At 34.4% G+C, this 15,999-nt stretch overlaps 1 protein-coding gene across 28 annotated transcripts in view; it reads left to right on the top strand.

The window, feature by feature from the left end:
- The window catches only part of RPGRIP1L (RPGRIP1 like), a 105,707-nt gene that overhangs the window by 23,224 nt on the left and 66,484 nt on the right, over positions 1-15,999 (top strand). For all 28 annotated transcript variants that reach the window (XR_007064862.1, XR_007064860.1, XR_933260.4 and 25 more), the window contains exons 7-10: positions 5,514-5,619; positions 7,620-7,766; positions 9,053-9,126; positions 15,627-15,766. Coding sequence is in view for 24 of the 28 variants with exons in the window: in NM_001127897.4 (NP_001121369.1) it covers positions 5,514-5,619; positions 7,620-7,766; positions 9,053-9,126; positions 15,627-15,766 (467 nt within the window). In the remaining 4 variants the exon portion in view is untranslated. The remainder of the gene's footprint in view (positions 1-5,513; positions 5,620-7,619; positions 7,767-9,052; positions 9,127-15,626; positions 15,767-15,999) is intronic.

Below are 15,999 nucleotides of genomic sequence, written 5' to 3'. Positions count from 1 at the left end.
CTAATACACAGTCCATATCCAAATTTCCCCAATTGTCCCAATAATGTCTTTTGCAGCTTGGTCTTTTTGTAATAGCTGTTGTTGTTTTATTTTCTTTTGATCTAGGATCCAGTCGAGGGTCACGTGTTGTTGCATTTAGTTATCATGTCTTCTAAATATCCTTTGTTCTCAAATGGTCCCCCACTCTTTTATAGCCCATTGACAGTTGTATGCAGAATGTCCCTCAGTTTGGATTTGCCTGATTGCCCAACCCCCTAATTTAAAGGGCACATCTGGTTCTCTGATGGAGGGGTAACTGGGACCAGGGATAGCCATGCAGACCTTGTTACACAGGGGAGTGATCTGTCATTTTTTAAAATATATTCACCATGCTCTGACTGTTATTTTGAACAGTTTAGAATTCACCCAATGAAAATTTTCACACTGAAATACCATTTCTTTTATCCTCATGTTTTTATTATTAACATTAAGATATTTCCTTGATAGTGACTTAACATAGCCTCCTGCCACTTTATACAAACCACAGAAATTGTCACAGATAATAGTTACTAGTATATGAGTGTATGCATGATAGTGGAGGGAAAGTTAAAACTTAGGAAGATCTTAGAGGAAAAAACTTAGAAGAGTGGGAAGAATTTAACTTTGAAGAGTGGGAAGAATTTAACTCTTAGAGCGAGATTTGAGTGTTGTTTCCATTACTTAAGGTCTCTGGCCAAATTCTTTACTTCTGTGAGCCTCAGTTAACCACCTGAACTGTAAAATGATTAGATTGAAATGGGTAAATGATTCCCTGCCTTTAAACAACAGCTGTTTTTCTCTCTAGGGACCTTGTGTTCAGAAAGATTTGGCCTACTAAATTAGCTGTTTGTATTCCTCAAAGAGACCTGTATCATGCCAATCCCTCCTTCTGCTAATTGTTAAATAACCTGCGTTATGACACTGGATTGGCACAATTCTATCAAGAAATGAAAACAACACAAAACCATTAGTTCAGTTTTGCAACTTCATTGCCAGTAAATGTATGTTTCTTATTGGGCTTTCTGAAATATTGACTGTAAGGTTCAGATTCCTGCCAGGTGTGGTGGCACATGCCTGTAGTCCCAGCTACTCCGGAGGCTGAGGCAGGAGAATCACTTGAACCAGGAGGCAGAGGGTGCAGTGAGCCGAGATCACGACACTGCACTCCATCGTCGGTGACAGAGTGAGACTCCATCTAAAAAAAAAAGGAAAAAAAAATCAGATTCCCATTTCTTTTACTGTAAATCTCAAGTTGGAATCCATTAAACTTGACCGTAAAAATGGTCCCTATAAGAAGATGAGCCAGGATTTGAGTTCTTCCTGTTCCCAACCAGCCTTTGGGAGTACCCTTCCACTGAGTGTGATTTTATGCATGTAGAGAGCTGACAAAACTGTCCCCTCCATTCCTGTGGGTGGTAAGAGTAAGAAAATACTGAGTTCTGATTTATAGTTTGACCCAACACCACAGGAAAGTAATGATTCAGAGGCAAATAAATATACACAGACAGTTTTTTTCCTTTGAGCAATCTTAAATCAGAGAGCACTGTTTTCACCTATGAAGTCAAGTAGCAATTTTGAGCAAAATCATTATCTTTCAAATAGACTTTCCTCAGCTATTTTAGTGAAGCTTATTCTATTCAGTTTACTAGCAGCCTTCTGTAGCCCTAGTCATAGGGGATAGCCTTGCTGCTGATTGTTATCTGTGTATCCCTAATAAAAACTATGAATGACCTACATTTCCTTCAACAATACAGCTACAGAATGTCTGCCACTGTTTGAAAAGAAAATCTAGAGTGCTTTTTTTAACCCTAAGGTTGTTTTCAACCTTATGCCCCAAATTTGGTCAGCCTGTAACTATTACTCAAAACAGTCTCTCCATTCTGTGTCGTAAATATTTGACCTAACTACTTCCCCGAATCTCATAGCCTAGCTTTTGTGTTTTAAAGCCTTCTCTTCTAAATGACGTTAAATACTATGACATTTTTATCTCAAAAATTCAGGAAGCTTTTTTTTAGCTTTCATAATATGGTAGCAAGGAATGAAATGTTGGCAAAGGGTGGGGGAGGGGAATTGAATGCCTGGGGAATAAAGTATATGAAACTTTCACTGGAGCAAAGTTTTTGCTTCTTAAGCTTTCATATTAGACTATACATTACATAGCTCCGCTGAAAGTTTTTACTTCTCCAGTGTATCTGAGGTTTTAGGTTTCTGGATTTATTATGGCACCCAGTAGCAAAGCTGGAGTCAAGTGTTTTCAAGGCTTCCATTAGAAATTCCTTTTTCAGAGTTTATTGCTTGACTGTTTCAAATTATATGAGAGAAACTTGGCACACAGGTTGTTGAGCTGGATTACTTTTTTTTGGACATGAAATCTAATTTATTTCAGTTTGTTCTTAATCTAGAGATGGGCCAGCAACTCTTCTCATAGTTTTATAAGATTTGATCATAATTTAAAATCATGGTTTTTTTAAAAAAAAAAAGGAAAGAGAAAAGAAACTGCATTTTCCAACTTAATCATTCCTGACTTTTTCAAAATCCTTGATGAAAATTTTGAGAAATTTATTTTTACAAAGCACTTAATTAGTATGCTTGATATCTGTTTGCAGATCATTTCACCATGTGTAATGCAGCATGTGTGATTTGGTCCATGACTGTCAGAGTTCATCCGAATGTCTGAATGTTTTTACCATGCATTATTCTTTCTGTTAGAATGTCATCATCCTGAAGATTTGGTATTCCTGTCATAGTGTGTAGAAGAGGGCAAAAAAATATTGTGTGGAGGTCACTTAAAATATTACTCATAAAATTAGCCCTAAGTCTATTCTTCAAATACCAACCTGAGGCCTTGCTCCACAAGCACAGAGGTCTAGGACTGGTCACTTAGCTAAACACCCTAGCTCCGTGTTGCCTACAACATCCTTCTCACATTTCTTGTCATCTTTTTGTGACATCTCTCTCCCTCTTTCTCTCTTACTTCCTCCCATTATTCTTGTACCATATTTCGTCTATATAAAAATGTTGAGTTGATTGTCAGGTTTGAAGTAATTTTTATTGCACATCTTCTTAAAGGCTAGACCACATTTATCACATTGCTGATTTGAACTTTTATGTTATCACTGACCTAGCACTTTTAGTTTAACAGATTATCCTCCTCTTCTCATTGTTACATGAAAAAAAAATAAAGTCATAATAATAAAGTCCCTAAAACTGATACGTAAAAGTAATTATTAAAGACTTACAAGTTTAGCATTGTCCCAGGAAAGGTGTACTCTGCAGCAAACTGACTTTTTATTTGAAGTACAACATTATTATACCACGTTGTTACTTAAGGTATTGTTTAAAGTACATTACTGCTGTTGTCTAAATACTACGTAAGTTGTATTTATACCTACCTGTTGGCCATTACCAGTTTAAAATGCCCTGTCACTGTTTTTGGCAGTATTTTGAAAAGTTTAAACTCCAAGGAGTTTAGGAAAATATTCAGGAAAGCACCCACCGATTAAACCACTGAAAGTTTTTGACATATGCTTACTGGTTTCTGCCTTACAAAAAAATTTAAAATTAAAAACTGTTATTTCTATCACCCTATGTGCCCGAATGGATTATAGAGATTTAATTGTGTTACTGTAATTAATGGTTATTATTCAAATATATCTTAATTTTCTTAAAAGTATCAACATACTGCGGCCGGGTACAGTGGCTCACACCTGTAATCCCAGCACTTTGGGAGGCCGAGGCGGGTGGATTATGAGGTCAGGAGATCGAAACCATCCTGGCTAACACAGTGAAAACCCGTCTCTACTAAAAATACAAAAAAATCAGCTGTGCATGGTGGCACGCGCCTGTAGTCCCTGCTACTCAGGAAGCTGAGGCAGGAGAATCGCTTGAAACCAGGAGGCGGAGGTTGCAGTAGCCGAGATCGCGCCACTACACTCCAGCCTGGGTGACAGAGCAAGTCTCCGTCTCAAAAAAAAATAAATAAATAAATTATCATACTTTAAAACAAAAATAAAATATCAGAGACAACTGGAAATATATGAAAAGATTTTAAATTATTTGAATCACATTCTGTCCTTACATATCAATAAATGTCATTCACTGCTGAGTGGTCAAACCAGGTAATTCTGGGGCAAATAAGTAAATTATATTTTGGCTTCTAAATATGAAAAAAAGAATATTTTCTTTAGACTTTAAGATGTATTTTTCTCTTTATATTATATATATATGTATTTTTAGTGGCTAAAGGTAATACTGAGTGAATATTAGTGAGTATATTGTTGAATATGTGCTCAGAACTACTAGATAACATGTTTTAGACATATAATTATTTTAACATTGTGTTAAGACTGTACCCTGGGCAAAATTTGGATTCATGGTTTTGTTTATCTTCTGTGTGAGGACAACTAACTGTCCAATGCCAAAATACAATGAACTTTCAAATATCAAAGAGGAAAATTAAGTATTTCAAGTCCTCAGCTGGTTTACAGATGTGTGAGCTTTGTAGTCCATTTTCTGGTTCCAGTAGGGCATTATGACAATTTTTCCAATATGTGTACACTAGATAAGTTTTAAAAGTAAAATCTCTTACTTTAAATATTGAACTCTGATTTTAAATTTTTTACATTTATTTTTCCTAAAAGTGAACTCTGAAATGAAGCTTCAAAATTAACAAAATATTTTTTAATATAAAATGTATTAAATTAAGGAACTTTTCTCTGTCAAGAAAATAAATGCCTTTTGAAAACAGGTACTCATTTAGATCTATGATTAACCTTTAACAAGATCTTCCTGTTAAATTCTACATTTGCTTTAATCTCAGTAGGAAAAATACAAAATAGTATTGTAACATATAAGGTTTCTATATACCCTGTGGACATCAAGTGATCTCTTACAGCTAAAGGCACATCTGCAACATATTTAAATGCCAGCTTTGGACATTGTTAGTATAAAATGCTAAGTCACTTTTTTTGCAAATATTTTGAAAAGTTTAAAACTCCAAGAGGAAACTCCAATAAATGGTAATCTTATGATGCCATTTGCGTCGAGAGAGTTGTAGAAAGATGAATGGCTGTATTGCATATTTTTCATTTAGGGAAAAGTAGCGTGATAGTCCTCCTTAAAATAAGTGTGAAGTTCGGTAATGGTACCATTGCTATACTAAAAACTATTGTGTTTCTGTGCCATCTTTCAGGATACTATAAAATGATTTTAAATCCATATTATCAATTGTAGAGGTGACATAGTCATGAAGTTTGGGGGCTCCCTTCAAACTTTGTGAGTTCAAGGTTATGAAAGTTCAGGAATGATTATTGGTTTGTTTTAAATAATTAATCTGTCCTGCATTTATAATAATCCAAAAACCTCATTGACTGATGTACAAGTATATAAATATTTTCTATGTAACATTAGTTGAAAAATTGTGATTCCACCATAGATTTTCTTCTAACTTGCGTTTTTTACTTCTGTCTCTCTTTTTCTTAAACACAACTCTGAAGGTCAAATATTCGGGACAATGTAGAAATGATTAAGCTTCATAAACAGCTAGTAGAGAAAAGCAATGCTCTTTCAGCAATGGAAGGAAAATTTATTCAGCTTCAAGAGGTACAGTGATAATTTATTTTATTACAATGTTACAGAGATGCAAAGGATTCAAAAGTAGTATTCAAGTTGTTTTTTTAACATGGAATTATCATAACACTAGAACATAATTTTGAAGGATTGTTCTTTGTATTCACAAATGTGTATCATTTCCCTTAATATATTGTTTATTATTTATAACTCAAGCACTAAAGAAATAATTAACTGCTTGGACTTTTTATAAATATCTGTGTCATCTTAAAATAATAACCATATTTATTATAAATTATCTTCTACCAAGGAAATTTATTTTTAACTCCTTTTATCTGAATTTATTATGGACACATAGCACTGAAGTTTTGCCATATTTGCATATATCTTCAATTTTAAGCATTTATAAAATTATTGGCAATAGACCAAAGTAATGAATAGGTCAGTAATCATGTTCTGTTAAAACTTTCTTTTATTTGAATTTTTTTTTCTTTTTTGGTCACTACCATTACCTGAAAATATTTGATTACTCTTAACGTCAACTATCAGTGTATTTATTTTAAACCTTAACCCTTCAGGTTGACAATACTTGGGATTCTTTATGCCCATGGTTGTTTTAACAAGGACTGTGACCCCACAGGAATATGCCATCTGAGGGCTTCTATTTGTTGGCACTGCATAATTAACATAGGTTCTGGAATTAATGAACTCCAAGACATTCCAGTTGAGCAGAATTTATGTGAAGTAACACTTTCTTTGAAGTCCCGAGACAAGGAGGGCAGTAGATTGATGCAAAGCAAAGGGTCATCTGAAGCCTAAATTCACTGTTGAATTCAATAGTTAAATATTTTTCAGCCATGCTCTGGGGATTTTGTTTTCCATCCTGCAGGAACCTCTTTAAATGCCAAGTGGTAATTACTTCTGCATAAATATGAGAGTTTGTAAAAGGAGACTGATGAGAGAGTGAGAATGATAGTGCTATCTACAGATGTTAGAAGAAGGAAATTTTAAAAATCCCTGTAGTTGAAAGCCATTTCTAAGATTAAGAATTAAGAAAGGAATTGAAAAATGATTTTACATTCTCTTATCACTTTGACAATTTTGATTTCTATTTAACAGTGAACCCAGGTATTAGTTTAAATACCAACAATAACAGGTGTCTGCTGTAGTACAGGCAGCTCTTTTGGAAGTTGACATAGGGTAAAAAATTGAGAGGTTAAGCCCAACAGCCTCAGTGAAGTGTGGAGCCTAGAAAAAGGTGGCTGAAGATACTGTTCTATAATAATACCAAGATAAACGAAAATTGACCTGAATGGCTCAATAGCCATGTGTCATTTAAATGAGTGAAAAAAAACTTCAGTGGGACTTGAGAGATTTAAGTTAGCAGGTGAGGCATTGCATGCTATGGTTATATGGTCTATATGAAAAGACTTTACCTTTTTTTATTTTAAAAAAAAACTATGTGACATTAAAGTATATAAAATTGAATTTACAGCATGGTCATAAATAGACCATTTTTGAAAAATTAAGAAAAGTTCATAACTTTTACTAAATTGGAAATTTTAACTTAATTGTATGCAAATTAAAAGCTGACCATCCAAGGCTGTTTATACGATGTGGCAGCGAATCCCTTCAGTTCGAATATCTGTGGTCAGCATTTTTGACCCATGCTACAGCATTTTTAGACAGCATGTCCAACCAATGTAACCACAGCAAAAAGAAAAAAAGTTATTGTTAAAATGAATTTACTTGCTGGTCACCATCAATAAGTCAAAAACTAGGAGGAAATAAAATATGTGACTCTATGCTAAGATAACCCTGTATTTTCTTCCTCATGTCACACACATGTTCAGAGCGTCTCCTACGGATAAGTAGCACGTATACATCATTTGTTATGTAAAAAATAATCTGTATAAGGTGAACTTCGGGAGTAAATTCATTTATAGAATTGTAATCATTTAGTCAAATCATTTAGTCAAATTTAATCATTTAGTCAAAAATAATGTTTGAAAGATGTTCTTTTTATCTTTTAGAAGCAAAGAACTCTCAGAATCAGCCACGATGCTTTGATGGCAAATGGGGATGAATTAAACATGCAACTTAAAGAGCAGCGTTTAAAATGCTGCAGTCTTGAGAAACAATTACATTCTATGAAGTTTTCTGAAAGAAGAATAGAAGAGGTAAGCTCCCAAAGAGTTTAGCCATCTGTTGCATTACAACTTCTTGGTAACTGTTTTGAAAAAGTAAAATAGAGATATTTCAAAATTGTACTTATTTAAAATTATAAGTTATGTACATGGTGTTTTGAGCACAGCAAAATATAGTTGTTAATATATGAATGGCAAATCAGTGTTTAACTGTACTTGCAAATGTGGCAAGATCCACTGTTTACCCAAAGGATTAAAGATCCTTGAGTAAAATGAAACCAGCATTTTGAAACTGATGCCAGATTACCTATGGAACTTAACTTTCTCAACTGTAACAGCTTATTAATCATTTGAGATACTGAAACAAAATAACAGGACTGTATCTGTTTCTGAGGAGATGGCTGTTGTATTCTGCATTATCAGTAATTTTGTGAAATTATCTAATTTTTTTAGAGAGTTCTTTGAAAACTCATCTTCCTATTATCGTAGTATTTTATGTAGCCTGTTAAGTTTGTTCCCAAGGAGAATGGAAGTGAAATAAGATGCCTGCATTCTGTTCTGATCTTGGGAGAATCTTTTACTGTCTCATACTAGCATCAAAAGAGAATTCTGAAAATGGAAATAAAGAGTAATCTGATCCACAGGAAAAAGTTGTGACTGCAAAATATACTTATGAATAAAACTTAAAAATAAATACTAGAGTACAGAAATCTACATTTTAGCCATAGGGATGTAATTATTACTCCGTTTATTTCTGAAAATACTGTTCATGGGCTAAAACAGTATGTAAGTTTGTTTATTCATTTATTCACAAAAGGTGCTAGTAGCTATTTATAAATTTCAGATAATGTGAGAAATTGTATCTTCAGAGTAAATTGTGATTAACAACACAATTTGAACCATGAACCTAAAAAAAAGTTAACTCTTTTAATTCTTTATGGGCTAATTGTAAATTAATACAAAATGAATATAATGACAGAAGTTATCATGGTGAAAAGTAAAAAATACTATGTTTCCCGGGACTTAGCAAGCTCTTAACATATTCTTTAATGACTTCTGGCACATGTTGCATAAAGCAGTGCATACGTTTCTACTAAATTAAAACAGGAATATTAATTTCACGTTTATTTAACAACTTGGGAAAAATCAATGCTGACTTAAATGCAGACAATATAAGTGGTCTGGTTAGCAGCTACCATTTAGCAATCGAGATTAAAACATGTTAACCTTCTCTCATATAGAGTTTTTTAATGTTTTTTTTTACCCCCAAGTGGTTTTATATAATATTTACTTAATATGTAATTTTATTTTCATTTTAGCTGCAGGATAGAATTAATGATTTAGAAAAGGAACGGGAACTTTTAAAGGAAAACTATGATAAACTTTATGACAGGTAAATCGTGATTCCATGTGTTCTTTCATTGTCTTGTTTGAGCTCTTTTATATGTAAGCATTTGCTGTTGTCAGAATAGATCATGTTGATCAAAGAATTAGCAACAAATGATAGCAAGAAATATGCAAACTGTATAAAGGAAATACAAGCTTTTTAAAGGCATTGTAATAAGTTATTTAACCTGAGCAGTAGCCTATCACTACTAAGAAAACCATATCACTTTGTTGCCAGTAAACTGCTATCATTTATTGAACACTAACTATAAACTAACAGACACCATGCTAGATACTCTACATTTATTGTTATAAATTGTTCACAGCACCCTGAAATGTATGTATTACAAATTCCCATTTTGCAGACAAGGAAGATGAAGCAAAATTAAGTAACATTAAGAGGCACTTCCCACCTCTTTTTTTTGAGACAGTGTCTCAGTCACCCAAGCTGGAGTGCAGTGGCACAATCATGGCTCACTGCAGCCTCAACTTCCTGGGCTCAAACAATCCTCCCACCTCAGCAGCCTGAGCAACTGGGACCACAGGCACATGCCACCATGTCAGACTAATTTTTTTAATTTTTTGGTAGTGACGAGTTCTTTCTATGTTGCTCAGGCTGATCTTGAACTCCTGGGCTCAAGTGATCCTCCTGCCTCAGCCTCCGAAAGTGCTGAGATTACAGGGGTGAGCCACTGCGCCCAGCCCATACCTTTTAAATGTATAAAGTAATAGAGCTTGTGTTTGAACCTCTTTTGGTCTCTTTCTTAGACTCCCCAGCTTATTAACTGAGAGTTATTCTGTTAGGGAAAAGCAAAGGTGTCCACTTACAATTGTCTCTGTTCCTTATAAAGAGAAACACAAGCATCTTTATCTCAAGATACATTTTAAAGGGCTGCTTCAATTTTGTTTCTTAATCTACTTCATAATTATGGTATTTTAGAAATTAATCCCTTCTGGTAGTATTAGAAACAAAATTATACCCCACATCTAAGTTTGGTTAAGTGATACAGATATCTGTGTGTGTGTGTGTCTGTGTGTGTAATTTTAAGTCTTTTTAGTATATGATACTGATAAATGATAAATACAGGTTTACATGAAAGCAAATGTAATATATACTTAAATACATATGTTATAGCTGATATTCAACAGCTACTACTTCTGGTCATGTGCTGAAACCTCAGAAAATAACCATTTGAGCTACAAGTGCATCTTTAACTTTTTAGCTCTTTGTCTTATTTTTTATAAATTAAATTTACATTTTGTAAATTAAACAAATTATACCCAAGGAGTGTGGGGATAGGCTTTTATTTTGATTTACTTCTGGAAAGTTACCTAAATTAACATAGGCATTATTTCAGTAGTTTGTATCATCTATGTTATTTACCTACTTGGGACTATCTTTGTACAGTGACTGATTATATTAAGGGTTACCAACAGTAGGTTCAGACACCAGTTAAAATCATATGTGTGTTTGAAAAGTTTAAATGTCAGTATACAAATTGCACAGTACCCTATTAGAGAAGATATCATCCCTCTTTTATAAATGAGGAAATTGGGATTCCAGAAAAATTAAGACTTGTGCAGAGTCACACAGCATTGCTGAGACTCTAGTTTAGAACTAAAACCCAGATTTTTTTAAACTCTAAAACTTGAATTCTTTTTTTGTTATGCTTCACTATCTGATTTTAATTGCATTGGAAAATTGCATATGTGGAAGGGAAACATTCATGGAATAACAGAACTGTTATACATCCAGAAATTCTTACTGATTTACATATGTCTTCAGTATCTTGTAATTTCAAATAATTTACACAGTCTAAATAGAAGAAAATAGTGCCATATGGCCATTACTTCCAAATTTTCTACTTCTCCCCAGTTTGAAAATTTGCTGAACATACTTACTTGGAATAAAAAAAATCAAACTTACCTGGGAATAATGTATAAACGAAATTTTGAGAAAGTCATGTTTTTCTCATATTTACTTTCCCACCATAAAACTTTATCTTTCCATATTAGAAGATGATCTAAGAGTATAAATTTGAAGGGTTTTTTTTTTTCAATGTTTTATGCTTGCACTAACATTTTTTTCCTGTCACACTAAAAGCAGACTTCGTTATGCTGCTCACACGTGAAGTTTATGTGAGATATATGGAAGTAAATGTGTGTAATGAGTGTCAAAACATTTAATGTCAAAAGAAAAATTAATGTAACATAAGCACAAAACCCAGCAAACACACATAATAGTCAACAGAACTACAGAATTCTCTAATATAATGTTTTTGAAATATATGATACATTTTAGAAGTATAGTTGGAGAAATTCGACAAAAGTCTACATTGTCTCTCAGATTCTTTACAGCTCTTTTGTTTCATGACACTGTTATTCGTTATTGCCAACAACTAATGTTCATCAAAAACTGCACATACTCCCTGTTTGCTTAGTCATAATGATAACATGTTTTTAAAAGGACAGCATTTGTTTGTTATTCAAAATTGACTAGTTTTCAGGAGAAAAATATGATTTGCAGTTTGCATTCTCATCTTTCTTTTTCAAATAAATTTTGAATGTGTTTATTACTTGACATATGACATATTAGAGAATCATGTGGGAAGATAAAACCCTCATGTTACTTTTTAGTATGAGCATTTTTTAATATGCTAAAACACTTTTGATACACTGCCAAGAAGTAAGTATAACTTTAATAAATGTTCAATTTAAAAGTTGAGAATACATTTTTTGCAATTATATCTTTCTGTTGGGTCAGAGAGAAACTCTATACTGTGGTATGTAATACAGTATTATATTAGTATGCTATAATTTAGTAATGCTGTGCTTCACTTTTGAAGTTAGTTAGTGTTGGGGCCATGTAACTGATAAATGCAATGGTTCCTAAACTATAATGTATGCAAATAACCTGGAAAACTTATTAAAATGTAGATTTCACCACCTCTTCAGAGCTTCTTCGCCTATCCATCTGCACCCCTCCCTCTGCCCCCATACCATCCAACTCTGATTCAGTTAATTTGAGACTGGGTCCAAAAAAATCTGTTGAATGTGATTTTGAGGTATTAACTCCTTGAGAGACACTAATGTCTGTTTTTAAAAGGTATTCATCTAGTTTTTAAGATGATATTAACCTTTTTAAGAATTGGGTGGATCAAGTTTTTATTATGTGATAGTCATCTACTTCTCAAAATGTAAAAGAGCACTACTGACACCCATAGATGCTCTGTGTTCTGTTTCTGTAAAGTGAGCATCTGTGCCCTGTAACCTTCTAGAAACCATAAAATCTCATGTGATCAAATATGAGCAGCTTATGCTTCCCAGAAATCAAACTCCAAGTACATTTGGGGCATCATCTTCTTTCAGTAAGTGAAATATCCTGATGTAAATATGAATTTAATTTTCATTAGGCCCTAAATAAAGTACCTATGATTTAAAAAAAAAAAAGGAGACAGAGAGACAGGATCTTGCTCTGTTGTCCAGGCTAGAGGGCAGTGGCGCAATCATAGCTCACTGCAATCTCGACCTCCTGGACTCAAGCAATCCTCCCACCTCAGCCTCCCAAGTAGCTAGGACTACAGGCATGTGCCACAAGACCTGTCTAATTTTTAATTTTATTATTATTTTTTAATTTTTTTTTTGAGACAGAATCTCACCCTGTCACCCAGGCTGGAGCATAGTGGCATGGTCTTGGCTCACTGCAACCCCTGCCTCCCAGGTTCAAGCGATTCTTCTGTCTCAGCCTCCTGAGTAGCTGGGATTACATGTGTTTGTCACCACACCTGCCTAATTTTTGTATTTTTAGTAGAGGTGGGGTTTCCCCATGTTAGCCAGGCTGGTCTCGAACTCCTGACCTCAAGTGATCTGCCCACCTCGGCCTCCCAAAGTGCTGGGATTACAGGCACAAGCCACCACACTGGGTCTTCAATTTTATTTTTTATAGAGATGGGATCTCTCTATGTTTCCTAGGCTGGTCTTGAACTCCTGGGCTCAAGCCATCCTCCTGCCTCAGCCTCCCAAAGCATTGGGATTACAGGCATGAGCCGCTGTACCCAGCCACTGTGGATTTCTTTATGGATGATTTAGAGTATATTCTTTCCTGTCTCTCACATTAGGATGCCCTTGAACATTGAACAAATGGAGTTTCTTCTGTAGAAGGAAAGATCTTAGGAAGCAGATGAACTCTTTGGCTTTATTTAGATCTTTATCATGTTTTTGGTCAAGGGTGTGTATTTACAGTTTGCTGACCCATGTCTGCCAGTGGACATGCCGGTGACCACAAGCAGCAATGGGCATTCCACTGCAGGCTGACATTTGATCAGTCCTGCAACATCATGTAACAGTGAAATGTGTACAAAGACTAACTATGATCCCCCTTCAGTTGTCACTATAGGCAATATACAAAAACATTTTCATGAATAAAAAGTTCTCAAAGACTGTTCTCATATGCAGATTTAATCATGTGTACAGCCCTTACAAAGAAAATGGAGCCAGATGTGGTTCACCATTTATAGTTACACAGATGGCTCTAAGCATAGCGGAATACAGTAAATTCAAAAGGAATTTCTCATGAAACTCCAGTGGAATGTAATCCTAAATTTAGAGGGAAGATAGCAGTGGACTAAATTCAGATTGACTTATGCTGATTTACACTAGTATTTTGTGGGTTTGGAAAACCCAGGCCGCTAAATTGTTCTTAATTTAAACACATACAGCTTCTGATGTTTCTGCCAGATTAGCTGTTGGTGATCTTTTTGCTGGTACTAATGCTATTGGAACACTACTGTTTCTAATTTTTGGCATCTGATATAATGTATGTTGTGCCTATTTCATCATGCTAATTTTTTTTTCCGGGTGGTACATGTTTTTAATAAAATAAGACACATGCATATACATACATACATACATATATATATATATACACACACACACACACACACACACACATAGATGTACTCACATTCATGCATATATGTGGATGTGTTTGATATATACAATTTGGCCATACATAGAAATTATATTTGTTCTTTATTTTAAAAACAAACATAAAAAGGAATATTATTTAGTATTTAAAATACATATTTTATTTGGATTTCATTAAAGTCTTGGTCATTGTACCTTTGATAAAATCAACTTAAATAATTGATATATAGATCCTATATTTTGTTAAGTTTCCATAAGTGAAATGAGAACACTAATAGAAGAAACAGATGTCATATTTAGAGAAGCTTCCATAATTCCATTTATTTTCAAGGTCATGTTATCTTAAAGGCAGTAAAATATTCAAAATGTGAAATGAATACACAATGTTTCTCTTTTGAGAAGCTATGCCTCCCAGAAAAGTATCTTTTTTGGGATAAAAACTGAAGACTAGTTGGGAGCAACATTAAGGGCAATTTCCAGTAATATGTTTCTTTTCCATTTACTTCATCATCGTATAAAACAAGATTTTATAAGTTTTTGTTGTATTTACTGGGCTTAAAATACATAGAATGGTCAAAGCTGCTGATGATTATTCAGTCATATCAAGCTTCATAGATAATGGTTTTCTGCTGAAATTCAGATCAAGATCAGTTTTTCCAAAACCTGGCTATCATCTGGGGAGCTTTCTAAAAATATGAATACCTGGGCCCTGGGATCTTCATTTTAAAATCTCCCTAAGTGTCCTTACGTAGCAGCTGGCCTACTACCAGTATTTAGGTCAGCGTTTAGGAACCACTGGCATAAACGAATGTTGATTGTACACTTTCTGTACGTTGTCTAGTTATTTTTCAACCAGTTCTTTCTTCTGATATGCTGGGTCTTGATTATTAGCAAATTTTAACCATGGTTTAAACTGCTGTACTTTTATTGAGGAATAGTAATTCTATTTTCGTCATTCTTATCAGGCACAGAGCACTGGTTTTCATTCCAATCGTGTTACATCTAAAACTGTTTTTAGCCTATTGTTTTTTGTTTTTTAACAAAAACTATATTATCACTACTTCTTAATCAATATCGGAGGTATTGTCTGGTGGTTCAATATGCTATCATTTTGTGGCCAATATTTTGTGAACGTGTTATTATCACAGACTCTTTAAAAGTTTCACAGAATTAAAGATCAGGTGGAAAGTCCATTTTCTCTGTATTAAGAGGTTTGTATGTGGGAGAGAATGGTTTTGTCCGATGTCAATTGCTGAGTTTTGGAATTGTGGATTCCTCTGGAGTATGTACAGTATCTGAATTCCTTTACTAGTCCCACAAAAGCTGCATACTGCCAACTTTTCTGACTTTAGAGCTCTAAATTAAGGCCAGTTCCTTTGCTCATCCCACAAACTCTTTCATGTTCCCTAACCGCAGCCTGAGAAAGGCGCCTTGGTTTCAACAGCAGCAGACCAGCATATGTTTACTTAATTCCTAAGACATGATGACAGTGGTCTCTGCGCCACTAAAAGCTTTTCTCTTTATTATTTTCGGTTGAAGCTGATTTCCAAGCTTTCCTTGCATGTCACGTGTGTTTTGCAGTGCCTTCAGTGCTGCCCATGAAGAGCAATGGAAGTTAAAGGAGCAACAGCTGAAAGTGCAGATTGCTCAGCTCGAGACTGCCTTGAAGTCTGACTTAACAGACAAAACTGAAATCCTTGACAGATTAAAAACTGAAAGAGGTACATTTGAAATAACCACTGCCTTACTCATTTCAGACATCTAATGTTTCTTCATTGAATCAGTCAGTACTTACTCTGGTGCCTACTGTTTGCCAGTATCCCCGCAATGTATGAGGGACAGACACAGTCATCCACTCTCATGAATTCAGTGGTTGCTCAAAATTTCTCATACTCAGCTTAGTGTATATGCCAAAAGAATTGCTTTTTCTCATAGCTATTCTTATTTAGGTTGT

Source organism: Homo sapiens, chromosome 16, assembly GCF_000001405.40.
Source record: "Homo sapiens chromosome 16, GRCh38.p14 Primary Assembly".
Lineage (NCBI taxonomy): Eukaryota > Metazoa > Chordata > Mammalia > Primates > Hominidae > Homo > Homo sapiens.
This window is presented reverse-complemented; position numbering and strand designations above follow the sequence as displayed.